We start from the raw sequence: 13324 nt of genomic DNA on the forward strand, positions 1-13324 counted from the left end.
TCCTAAAACTCGTAAATAATATAAAACTCCTCCACTTAACATCTCTACCCTGCCAGTGGCCACTCAAATACCTTCATAAAAGCCAAACTCACAGCCAGGTATAGTGGATCCTGCCTGTAATTCCAGCACTTAGGGAGGCCAAGGTGGGTGGATCTCCTGAGGTCTCAAGTTCGAGACCAGCATGGACAACATGATGAAACCCTGTCTTTACTAAAAAAAAATACAAAAAAATAGCAAGGTGTGGTGTTGGGCACCTGTAATCACAGCTACTTGGGAGGCTGAAGCAGAAGAATCACTTGAACATGGGAGGCGGAGGTTGCAGTGAGCCAAGATCATGCTACTGCACTCCAGCCTGAGCAACAAGAGTGAAACTCCATCTCAAAAAAAAAAAAAAAAAAAAAAAAAAAGCCAATCTCCCTATCCTGGTCTACAGCGCCCACGCAACATGGCCCTGCCTGATTTGGGGATTTCTTTCCCTACTGTATTCCCCTTCCTCACCCAGGCTCTGGTCCCACCAGCCTTCCACCTGAACCTGGAAGCAGATTAGCTTGTTTCACTTAAGCCGTGAGCTGTTTCCTCTGCCTAGAATGTTCTTCCCAAAGAGCCTCACTTGCCAGACCTCTTCTCATTCCGGTCTCAGCTCATTCCTCCAAACTGAAAGTCCAAGCAGCCACAGGGCTCTCTCCATGTATTGTCCCATCTCGCCAGCTTCATTATTACCTGCCATTTTCTTCTTTATCATATGTCCTCTTCTACCATAATTACTAGTCCAGAGAGAGAGACAGAGACAGAGACAGACAGAAACAAAAAAAATGCTGCCTCCTCTGTGGAATGCTATGTTCCCAGAGCCTAAAGCCAGGTGTGGCATTTGGAAGGCTTCTTGTAATATTGGTTGGATAGATGAATATTGAAAGAATTTAACAAAATGATCCTCCCTTTAGAGAAACAGATCTGGGATAGAGAGCCAGTTCTGTCACTTACTAGCTATTTACCTTCCCTAAGCCTCAGTTTTCTCATTTGTAAGATGGGAATAATAAATCCCACTATCTGGAGCTGTTTCTGAGAAACAAAATCAGATAATGCACATAACATGTTTAGCACAGCATGCTCTAAGGAGCAAGCTCAGTAAATAGACCTGTGATTTTCATTATCATTATCCACTCCTTTATTTACACATGAGGGGCAGTGGGCGTTGAGAGGAGGTGGAAAGAGTGGGTTGTGAGGGCTCATGCCTAGGAGCCAACATGGGAAACATGGCCTTCTCCCAGGCTGCAGGAGATATCACAAATCAGAGAATGTTATTTAGAGAATCAGCTGAAAGTTACTAGTTATCTGATTAATGGCAATCCCACAAAGGGCTTCTATTCCAGGATGGTGGGTTTAAGTGTATCTGGACTCAAGGGGAAGATTCTAACCTGCTGCTCTCTGAATGGTGAGATATTTAAAATGGGATGTGTGGATTGGGGAGGTAATTATGTGTGTGGCAAACATATGGCAGAGGCTATATTTCTCCTGCTGAAAGAAACAAGTCCAAATATGTAACACACACACATTTTCTCTCCTATAAATACACAGATTGGAGGATGCCGTGGCAACATTTTGTTAAGTACCACAGTCCCAGAGAAATCACTGGAAGCATGTTATCGGAGGAACAGATGGTTGGTGTCCCTCCTGGTCTAAAGGTATTTCTGGCTGTCATGTGGGTATTCTATAAATAAACCCCACTGAGAGGCAATGGAAGATAAGCAATCAGCTGCACACTCCAACTTTACAAAAAAAAAAAAGTACTGGAAAAAAATTAAAGGCCGACTAGTTTTAAGATGATTCTAGCATCGAACATTAGGGCTAGAAAGGGTCTTGGAAAACCATCAAGACAATCTGCTCCTTCTAGGTGATACCTCATTTGATTAGGTTCAATTTGACTTTTAAAGACCTTCAGAGGCTGACACCAAAATTCAATCATGACATCTGTAGAATTGTTCAAACACATTGTGTGGATTCTGCCCATCTGGATCCTAATTCCTTTAGCTGCTTCCTCCCATTGCCCCCCTCAACTCTGGACTTGTTCCTGTTCTGGGTTCGAATTTCAGGTAACCCAAAGTCAGTGTTTCTGATGATCCTTCTCTGACCTCAGGAGGGGACCCACGAAGAGAGATGATGTTAACTCAGTGACAACTAACCCCCTGGTCGATTTGTATGCAATATGCTTCTTATTTTTTTCCCTCACAACTGTACTATGAGGCATGTTTTATTATTCTGATATTATGGATGAGGACTTGAAGTTCAAGATATTTGCTGTTCAACCAAGATCACACAGCTAGTCATTGGAAATGAGATGGGGGCTGTGCCCCAGGTTCTCTACCTCCTTGTCACTGCATCAGAGCTGTGCAACATTCTTATCCTTTCTAATTTCTGATGCTTTATTGCTCCATAGAAGGCTTCTTCCTGAAACTGAAGGGACAGATATTTATTCTCTAAAGCACAACATGAAACTTGCCCATACGTGAACAAGGAACTGCTGTAGAATGAGAATCTCTATGTCTTTCCATTTATTCATCTACTTATTCATTTACTCATTCATTCATTTTTAAAAATTTTCAATAGGACAATGAGAATGAAGGACCTATTGGATACTTGCTGAAGTCAGAAACCTCTTCCCATCATGTCCCTATTACTAACTATGTCTACTCCTATTTACTTATTTCAGCTTTCTGAACCATAGTTTCCAGGTCTGTAAAAAAGTAGGAAAATCACCTGCCTGAGAGGGTGGTTGTGATGATGACAAAGGACTGTCTGTGAAGTGCTTAGTGAAATGCCAGGCTCTTCAGTCAACATCAATACTCCTTCCCTTTGGGTGAAGAATAAAGTAGAGTGAGGGCTCTTCTCATACTTGCCACGACAGCTCCTTCAATATGGGAAAAAAGTGTGTCTTTTCTCCAAATTCCTGGAGACATTTTTTATAGTTTAAGCACTGTTGCTAATTCATTTATGTATGCTCAGAACCTAGAATGGAAATGGAGCTTGTCCAAAGGAAACGCATAATAGGTCTTTGTCAAACACTCATATTGAAAATGGAACCTAAAAACAAAATAACTATGTTTGAAAACAATTATACTCATTTTACTTCTTACAAAATAGACTTTTCTTCACACCTGAGAAATAGCTACTTTCAAAGTGAAACTTTCATATCAGATTTTTAGCTTGTGATGGAAATAGTCTCAGAAATTTCTGAAGAAATCTAGGGTATTCAAGCTGCTAGAATTTTTGTTTTTATTTTTAACATTCTTTGTTCTTACGTTCAAGGAATAATTAAAATCTCTAACTTGAAGAATCTCAGTAAAATACTTTTAATTTTGTATTTAATTTTAGAAATAGTTTCTTAAGATTATTTTGTAACTTGAGTTTTGGGAAATAAAACAACCCTATATAAATAAGAATGCACTGGGGACTTTTAAAAGTCTTTGAAGATTATTGCATTACTGTGTTACTTACAACTATGATTTACCTTATTTGGAAAGCATTTCCATCAATAGAAAAAATAACATCATATTGAAAAATTATGCTAGAATTTGATAAGTAGAGACAGTTCTTTTGGAATGCTTTTGGTTACCAACTTAGTTTTTGAAAATATATTTCTGAAATATTAACTATATCTTTTTATTTACTTTGTGCATAGTTCTTTGGCCCTGCCATTCAGATTTCTGGAGTAACATGGACTCTGTGAGGAGAAAAATACTAGAATCCCATCAGAGAAAAAAGTGTCACAGTCCCAGTGGATGAAGCCCCTGTACAGACGGCAGTAGTCCTGGCCCTGTCATAGAGTCACTGGACAACTTGAGCCGAGATATTTGAGCTCTCTGAGCCTTGGTTTCCCCATATGTAAATGTTAAGCTGGACAAGTAATTCCTAAATTTTTCTCTAACACACTTAAAACATGCCCTTATTTTTCCTAACTAAAAATAATCTATGTTCATGGTAGAAAAATTAAAAATTGCACAAACTAAAAACGAATTACAATCCCTCCTGAAATCATCACATTTATTTATTTATTTATTTATTTATTTATTTATTTATTTTGAGACGGAGTCTTGCTCTGTTGCCCAGGCTGGAGTGCAGTGGCATGATCTTGGCTCACTGCAAGCTCTGCCTCCTGGGTTCATGCCATTCTCCTGCTTCAGCCTCCCGAGTAGCTGGGACTACAGGCGCCTGCCACCACGCCCAGCTAATTTTTTGTATTTTTAGTAGAGACGGGATTTCACCGGGTTAGCCAGGATGGTCTCGATCTCCTGACCTCGTGATCCACCCGCCTCGGCCTCCCAAAGTGCTGCGATTACAGGCGTGAGCCACCACCCCCGGCAGAAATCATCACCTTTCTATAAATATATGCACACATGTATGAGTGTGTGTCCACACACACACATCTCTCCCCACAAAAGCAAGTGTGATTTCTTATAAATGCCTTAGGATCCCTTAGCCTAACCACAATAAACATCTTAATCCAGTCCTTAAAATTACTTGATACCTTTGCCATTCTATTGTTTTTTAACTTTAAAAAATGTATAAATTTCCAGAAAGTTGCAAAGATAATGCAGAGAGATACCATGATCCATCACCCAGCTCTCTAGCTGCAAGAAATCTGGTTCTCATCACAAACATTTAATTCTTATAATAGATAATCCTTACACTCCTACTAAACTCATAGTTTCTGAATTGTTAACCCACATCCAAATGAGAAACAAATGAACTAAGTACATTACAGCATTTGCGTACAGTTCTTATTGTCTTTCTCTTTACAAACTATTTTGTCCAGAAAAAATAAAATTTTCAAAGTTTCTTGGGTTAGTTCTTTTCATCACCACCCACTTCAGTGTGATTTTGTTATTCCTCTCCATGCAACTACATTCATTTAGTACTGTGTCTATGGCATTTCACATTCCCTTGAGTTCACGATGATTTTAGTTATTTAATTTGGGGGTTTGCCATATTATCCTGTGATTCTAAGAGTTAGAGATACACAAAAGTTCTACTTAGAGAAGCATTTCTCTTTATCCCTACTACCTGTTCTAATTCCCTGCTGCTTTCCAGCCTCTTCTTACCCATATCCTGCACGTAACTCAGCTTAGTTTTTGGCTTATCTTTCCTGTATGCCTTTTGCACAAATTATGTATATGTATATTTTCTTATATTTCTTCCTTTCTAACATAAAGGGTAGCTTATTATAGATAGACCTTTGTAATTTCCTTTTTCCATTTAACAATTATCATGAACATCACCTCATGTTAGGTAATAAAGATCTTCCTTTATGTCTTGTTATAGCTACAAATTACTGTACTGTGTAGATGTACCATTTTATTTCACTAACTCTTCTAGGTATGGGTATGAGGTAGTTCCTGATATCTTGTAATAACAAAAAATCCTCAATGCATATCCTTGTGCATATATGCATTTTCATACTGTAGGTTCCTAGAAGTAGATCTGTGTGATTAAAAGATACGTGCACCGTAGTTTTTTGTTGGCCATGCACTCAGAAAATGTTCTGTTTGACAAAATGTTTGAAGAAAGCCTGTTTCCTTGCAGCTTTGCTAACCAGATGTGTTGTCCTGCATTTAAAAAAATATATACACTTTATTTTTAGAGCAATTTTAGGTTCACAGCAAAATGAAACGAAGAATACAGAGTTCCCCTATTTCCTCTGCCCCCAACAAGCACAGCCTTCCCCACTATCAACATCACAACCCAGAGCGGTACATTCGTTATAATCAACGAGCCTGCATTGGCACATTATTACTACTCCAACCCACAGTTTCCACCTTAGTGTTGTACATTGCTTGTGTTTTGACAAATGTATAATGACATGTATCTGCCATTATGGTATCATGCAGAACAGTTCACTGCCCTAAAATCCTCTGTGTTCTGCCTTTTCATCTCTCTCTCCCCACTAATTCCTGGCAACCACTGGCCTTTTTACAATCCCCATAGTTTTGCCTTTTCTAAAATGTCATATAATTGGAATCATACAGTATATATCCTTTGCTGAACAGCTTATTTCACTTCATAATATGCATTTAGGTTTCCTCTATGACTTAGGTACTTACGGATGAGGACTTGAAGTTCAAGATACTTGCTATTCAACCAAGATCACACAGGTTGTCATTGGAAATAAGGTGGGGGCTATGCCCCAGTTGCTCTACCTCCTTGTCACTCCATCAGAGTTTACTTAGGTTTTCATCAGACAGTACTTAGGTTCCCTCTATGACTTTTCATGCCTTGATAGCTCATTTCTTTTTAGCTATGAATCATATTCTATTGTCTGGATGCACCAGAATCTACTGGTGGCATATTTACCCACTCACCTACTGAAGGACATCTTGGTTGCTTCCAACTCCTGGCACTTATGAATAATGCTGCTATAAAAATCTTTGTGCAGACTTTCGTGTGGACGTAAGTTTTCATCTCCTTTGACTAGATATCAAGGAGTGTGACTGATAGATTGTACAGTAAGAGGATACTTAGTTTTGTAAGAAACTGCCAAATTGTCTTCCAAAGTAGCTGTACCATGTTTCATTCCCATCAGCAATGAATTAGAGTTTCTTTTACTCCACATGCTCACTAGGATTTGGTGGTGTCAGTGTTTCAGATTTCAGCCATTTTAATAGGGGTATCGTGGTATCTCACTTGGTTTTAATTTTCAATCCCCTAATGACATATGATGTGGAGTGTCTTTTCATATGCTTATTTATAATCTAATCTATCTTTTTTTTTTTTTTTTTTTTGGTGAGGTGTCTGCTGAGGTCTTTGGTCAAATTTTAAAATCAGCATGTTTACTTTCTAATCGTTGAGTTTTCAAAGTTCTTTGTATATTTTGATAAACAGTCCTTCATCCCATCTATCTTTTGCAAATGTTTCATCAAGTGTGTGGTTTGTCTTCTCATTCTCTTGTTAGTGTCTTTTGGACATTAGAAGCTTTTAATTATGATGAAGTCCAGGTTATCAATTTTTCTTTCATGGATTATGGCTTTGGCATTTTATCTAAAAAAGCATCAACATACTCAAGTTTGTGTAAATGTTCTCCTATCTTCTAGGAGTTTCACAGTTGTGAGTTTTACATTTAGATCTATGATCTATTTTGAGTATATTTTTGTGAGGTATAATGTCTGTGTCTAGATTCACATTTTTTTCCTGTGAATGTCCAACTGTTCTAGCACCATTTGCTGTCCTACGTTTCAGTCTTTGTAAATCTGAAAGGTGAGAGATTGTACCTCAGTGTTGTTATAACTTGGATTTCTTTAATTATGAGTCAGCTTGAGCTTTTAAATCTGTTTGAAGTCCATTTTTATATTTTGTGTGAGTTGATTTTGATTATTTGTCCCTCAATTTTTAAGAATTCTTTATGTCTCGAGAACCTTTAACCTTGTATATGGTATCTATTACAAATATTTTCTCATTTTTTTCAGTTGTCTATTAATTTTGTGTATGGTGATTCTTGCCATGCATTTAAATAATATTTGTCCACAGTCAAATTTATCAATCTTTTCATTCCTTGTTGCCTTTGGATTTTGCATCATGGTTAGATATTCTTTCCCTATCTTGAATTTAAGAGGAATTCACCCATGTAATACTTGTACAGTTCCATTTTTTATATTTAGATCCCTAATCCATTTGGAGTTTATCCTTGTGTAGGGTGTGAGATATGAATTTTATTTTACTTTTTCCATATGATTACCCAATTCTCCTAGCACCATGTATTTTAAAGTCCATCTTTGCCTGGGGTTTGTCTTGATTGCTGTGTCATCTATGATCAAGCAGATTCTGGAATTTCTGCTATTTCAGGATATTTATTATCTAATAAAAGTGAGATATTAGACTTTCTTCTTTTACTTTTGCTCAAAAAATACTGTTTAAGTACAGAGCTTTTTCAACTTAATCACCAATGAACTCTTGCTTCTTAACATGCCACATAAAATAGCAGCTTACCTATTGGACTTGTCAACCGGAACTGCTGTAGGATATTGCAGCTCTTTCACCTTAGTATCCTGTAACTACAAGTTGGGGTGATGGAGATTGGTGACTTAAACACCCTTTTTCATGAAGTCCTTTAGTGTTCATAGTAGAGATTGAGATTCCCATACTAGGAAGCCAAGTCTCTTCCTATAGAACAACATTTACCAAACAGTAGCCTATTGATTGTAAGCTATGGAAGAGAGAAATATTGTCTGCCTTGATAACTAGTATATCTTCAGGATGTAGTACAGTGCTTTGAACATAGTGGACCGTAAATTAAATCCTTGTTTAATGACTATGAAAATGAAAGAATAAATGAATGAACGGTGTATTACTGTCAAATTTCAAGTCCAGTATGGAACAGCTATAACAGGTTACTAAAAATTAAACACCTATATATCAACCATATTTAAATAAGAAAAATGGTGTTTGTATGTTCTTCTATGGGTCAGCTACCTGTGGGTGTTCTACTATGGGTTAGGCATTATACAAGGGCATTTAACTTCTATTTACTCACTGATTCTTATCATAACCCTATGAAGTCGATATTATTAACCTGCCTAATAAAGATTCAGTAATTTGTGCAAGATGACACAGCTACAAAGGGAAGCTGGGTCTCTGGATTTCAAGTCCACTAATATTTCTCAACAGCTTGTTGAGAAGTGTTAAGATTTCATTATTCCAAAAATGCAGATCCTACAAGAGTTTAACGATGGTTACTACTGTTCATAACTCAACCCTTGCAATGGCTGATGTGCAATAATTTACTGATGTTTACAAACTATGTCTTCAGAAGGTGTCAGAACTTCATTGCTTCTTACAATATTATTAGCATACCCTGATCTGTAGCAGGTAATAAATAATTCAGACTGAATTTGGCAAGAGCAAATGTTTGTCCTTTCCTACTTTGTATTGACTTGGGAGGAAATTATTTTCCCTCTTCAATTGTTTACTGAAAAAAAATGCACTTATATTGCTTTCTAAGCCAGTTGTGCGGCTGGCCTTATTTTCCCCCGTGCCTTGATGAATAAATTGTGCAAAATCTACTTATTCTTATAACAGGAGATCTTACTAAGAAAGCATTCAGTTAGACTCATACAATAAACCACACCATCCCATGTCTGGGTCAGATTTAAAAATCAATTCTCCCCTGCTTCCAACAAAGTTAGTTTATCATGGAAGACAAACTATCATAGTACAACTTGGGAAATGAAAAATCTTTATGTAGAACCGCTCTGGATTTTCTGACTGGTCAATAGTTATATTTAATATATGTAAAGATAGATCAAAGGCAGTTGCAAATAATGATGACATTTTCTTAGTCAGGGATTACTGAGATACTCCTGATAACAACATGATAAAAATACACGCATTTGTGAAGAATATTTTATTGTCAGCAAAATGTGGGCCTGGATTTGGCAGTGGCCGTGATGTTGAGAAAGGGAAACTGAAAATGAGTTGGACATTCTTGGTTTAATTTTCAGTTGAATGGCTTGTTCATTACATGATTTTAATCAAGTATCTTACCCTCTCTGTATCTGTAAAATGTGGACAGGTAAATGGGATTTGCATATAAAACCTTTCTATATGATCAAAAGCAATATGAAAATGTAACATTTTTTATTCTTATCACTTTTTTTCCCACGAAAGATAATAATACTTGTATCTGCACAGCAACTTACTTGAGATATGCACAGAGTGAACCATCTAGGTATGCCCATTTTTCAAGGAAGAAACTGCAGTTGGAAAACAAGGGAGATCAGGTCTCTCTGGTCAATCTTTCAGCAATTTTTTACTGCATGTGACTCTGTGCCAGGTCCTTTTCTAAGTGCTAGGAACAGGTTGAAGAAGACTGTGCCCTACTTACCACAACTGAGGAGCTACATAAGGTTTTGGAGCTATTAAAAAAAAATTAGTCCTAATTTTTTGACTCAAGGTGCTCATAGCACATTGGGAAAGAAAGGTTGATGTACAACCAGATAGTTGTGACTGATTTGAACAAATTTATAGGAAAAGTGTTCAGAACTGACGACATTATATTTCTCTTATTTTTCATATTCTTGGCCAAAGTCTCATTTGCTTCAATTTGCCGAAAGATCAAATACTCTCCTGAGTCCTTCTTTTCTCTCCACGAACTTGCCAAGAATTCTGGGATCAACTCTATTTCCATAAAACAGGAAGAGAGAAAAGGAAAATTATAAGGCCCCTTGGGGTCACTGGTATGTGGCTATAGTTCGTCTTTTACTGGTCTCTGGTAATATTTTCACTCACCTTTGTGTCCTTGACTTATAGCCTGTAACATTTCACCATTTCATAGTTACAGCTCTCTGTATTACATACAAATGCATGGCACAGTTCTGACACAGATGCCTTGTGAATATCTAGGCCTGCATTGTCCAATATGGTGAGCACTTAAGGACTAGAATACTTGCAATATGGCTAATCCAAATTGAGATGTACTGTCAATATAACATACACTGGATTTGAGAGATTTAGTACACAAAGGATAATATAAAATGGTGTATCAATAGTATTTGATATTAGTTATTTTTTGAGATGATAATATTTTGGATATACTAGGTTAAAAAAAGGTAGTGTTAAAATTAATTTCATTTTTTGATTTTGACTTTTTAAAATGCAATTACTACTAAATTCAAGATTGCATATGGGACTTGCATAATATTTCTATTGGACATTGCTATTTTAGTCTTTGGTGTTTTCAGGTTACTTGCATAGACTACATCTTTCCCCATGATAATTTCCTCTCTGGTGAACTTGTTCTTTATTGCTAGCACCCTTCAGTTCTGACCATCCTAATTCATCAGAGACGTTCAAATATTGACTCCTAAGAGCAAAAGGAGTCAGAATCTAGGTTCTTTTTATCTCAGGAGGTTTCTTGGCCCCTATGCAAATTTACTTGTCCTTGCCTTATCAACTATGCATATCAATGGGAATTGGGAGTTCACTTTCTTGTTCATTATACATGCATCCCCCTGTCTTCCACTGAAATTTAAATCTGTTCTAGTGATTTTTTCTCAGAACAGAGACAACGTGCTGTCCCCACCCAGAAAAAGGTAATGCTCAAAGCTACATAATTTATCATGCAACATGACAAGCCACTGGATGCCTATTTTACAATCTGGATGCCTATTTTACAATCTGGATGCCTGTTTTACACTGGATGCCTATTTTACAATCTGTAAAATAGGCAAAGAGCTGCATGGCAATTTGCCTAAGTCCAGAAGGTGGCTAAAATTGGGACCAGTAATAACAACAAAAAATAACCAGGAGGAGATGAAACAGTTAAGGGTGTTTAAATGGTGCCCTCAGTTCATCTAAGAAAGAGGAACAGAAAGAATGAGCTCATGGGGATCAAAGATGTGGCACTCCCAGAAGCATGTGAGAGCTTCAGGCCTAACTTGTGCATAACAGAGTTGAAGAGCTGACACGGTGCTTACTAACTCATCAGAAGCAGAAGCGCCCTGGTGATTCTATGCCACACCACCATTCCCCAGGAAAATGTTCTCCACTGAGACAAAATCCTTAAATTTTTAGAATGGCCTTATTATGGATTACAGCAAACATCTCAGCACATCTTTCTCAGCAAGGATCTCAAAACAGCATTGGGATGGCCTTATTAATAGATCCCTTACGAAAACTCAGAAAAGTTAGAGAGGCACTCAGAATCTTCCTAAAATATGAAATGTTGAAATCTGGATTCTTTTTTTACCATGACTGCAAAATGTAAGCCACTACTTGGGCTCACCTTGTTGAATCAGATTTCTTCTACTTTGCCATTTTGATGATATCACTCCCAGGTATGTTTTTTTCTTTTTTTTTCCTTTTCTTTTTCCTTTCTTTTCTCTTTCTTTTTTTTTTTTTTTTTTTTTTTTGAGACAGAGTTGTGCTCCTGTTGCCCAGGCTGGAGTGCAATGGCACGATCTCTGTAGGCTCACTGCAACCTCCACCTCCCCAGTTCAAGCAATTCTCCTGCCTCAGCCTCCCGAGTAGCTGAGATCACAGGAGCCTGCCACGACGCCCAGATAAATTTTTGTATTTTTTTAGTAGAGATGGGGTTTCACCATGTTGGCCAGGCTGGTCTTGAACTCCTGACCTCCAGTCATCTGCCCACCTATGCCTACCAAAGTGCTCACTCCCAGGTAAGTTTTTGAAGTAACTACTCTGAAAATACCAGGCAACTTTTTAATCTATTCAGTGACACTGCCTACAGTGGCCCTCCTTACCAGCTGCAAAATGTTGAGATGTTAAAAGAAGTCCTAATTTTTCAAATGAGAATGGAAAGGAGGAAGAGACCTTGACTTTATTATACTGCTTGGCTGTCATATGCCAGGAAACATAGAATTTGGGGTATGCCTACAATGCATAATTAAGGTTGGAGATTGGTAATGGTGGAATGGTTTGAAGTCCTGGGCTGAGACAACCAATGGACTAACGATGAAGAAAAGGCTCTTCTGCTCAGAATAGCCTTCTCCCCACTTAAGTCTCTCCTAAAGAGGATCATCAGAGCAAATCTGTGACTAACAATTCTAAACTTGAAGTGGAGACAGATGTTCACAAATATGTATACGAATATTTAGCTAAAAATAACTAAAATAAGACAAAATGTCTTATTTTCAGTAGCTAAAAATAAACTAAATGCTCACCAACAGTTGATGGGCATAAAAGGGTGGCATATTGATTCAGTGGAATACTGTTTAGCAACGAAAAGTAACATACTACTCATAAGCATAACTAAATTGACAAATCTCAAAAAGGTTATGTTTAGTCAAAAGAAACTGGAACAAAGAACTGTATATTGTATGATTCCATTTATATGAAGTTCTAGAATAGGTAAAACAATTATGATGACAGATTGTTATTATTTATTAAACAATTATGACGACAGATATTGGAGCAGTAATCGTCTCTAGGGCATGACCCTAGAGAATTGACCAGAATGAGGTACTAGAAGGGACCTCTATAGGATGACGAAAATATTCTGTTACTTGAGGGTTTGGATGCACAAATTTATTATGCATTTGTTAAAGCTCATCAAAATGCACATAAAATCTGCTTTTTATTATATGTAAATTGTGCCCCATTTAAAAAAATGGTAAAAGAAAAATGCTTCATACCCTTTCCCAAATTTAAATGGAATTTCCTTTTACAGTAGCCATCAAGAGTCTATAGATTCACCCCGATGTTAAGAGCTTATCAATTTTATCAATCTTATTGCCTTCTCTTCTCCACGGATTCTTTTTTTTGAAATTGTCTTTCACTGTTTTCCTAAGAAACAGGCAGAAATTGAAAAGTAACTGAACAC

General features: G+C 37.2%; 1 long non-coding RNA gene across 1 annotated transcript in view, besides 1 other annotated feature; it reads left to right on the forward strand.

The window, feature by feature from the left end:
• Window positions 11298-11347: an enhancer, noted in NCBI's record as "active region_21329". NCBI's record gives its function as "activates an Ori minimal core promoter by ATAC-STARR-seq in GM12878 lymphoblastoid cells {active_cell/tissue: GM12878}" and the evidence as "EXISTENCE:reporter gene assay evidence [ECO:0000049][PMID:35858748]".
• The window catches only part of LOC124900670 (uncharacterized), a 70810-nt gene continuing 68943 nt past the window's right edge, over window positions 11458-13324 (forward strand). The window contains exon 1 of the long non-coding RNA XR_007058058.1: window positions 11458-12161. This is a non-coding gene — a long non-coding RNA (uncharacterized LOC124900670). The remainder of the gene's footprint in view (window positions 12162-13324) is intronic.

This window comes from Homo sapiens, chromosome 4 (assembly GCF_000001405.40).
Source record: "Homo sapiens chromosome 4, GRCh38.p14 Primary Assembly".
Lineage (NCBI taxonomy): Eukaryota > Metazoa > Chordata > Mammalia > Primates > Hominidae > Homo > Homo sapiens.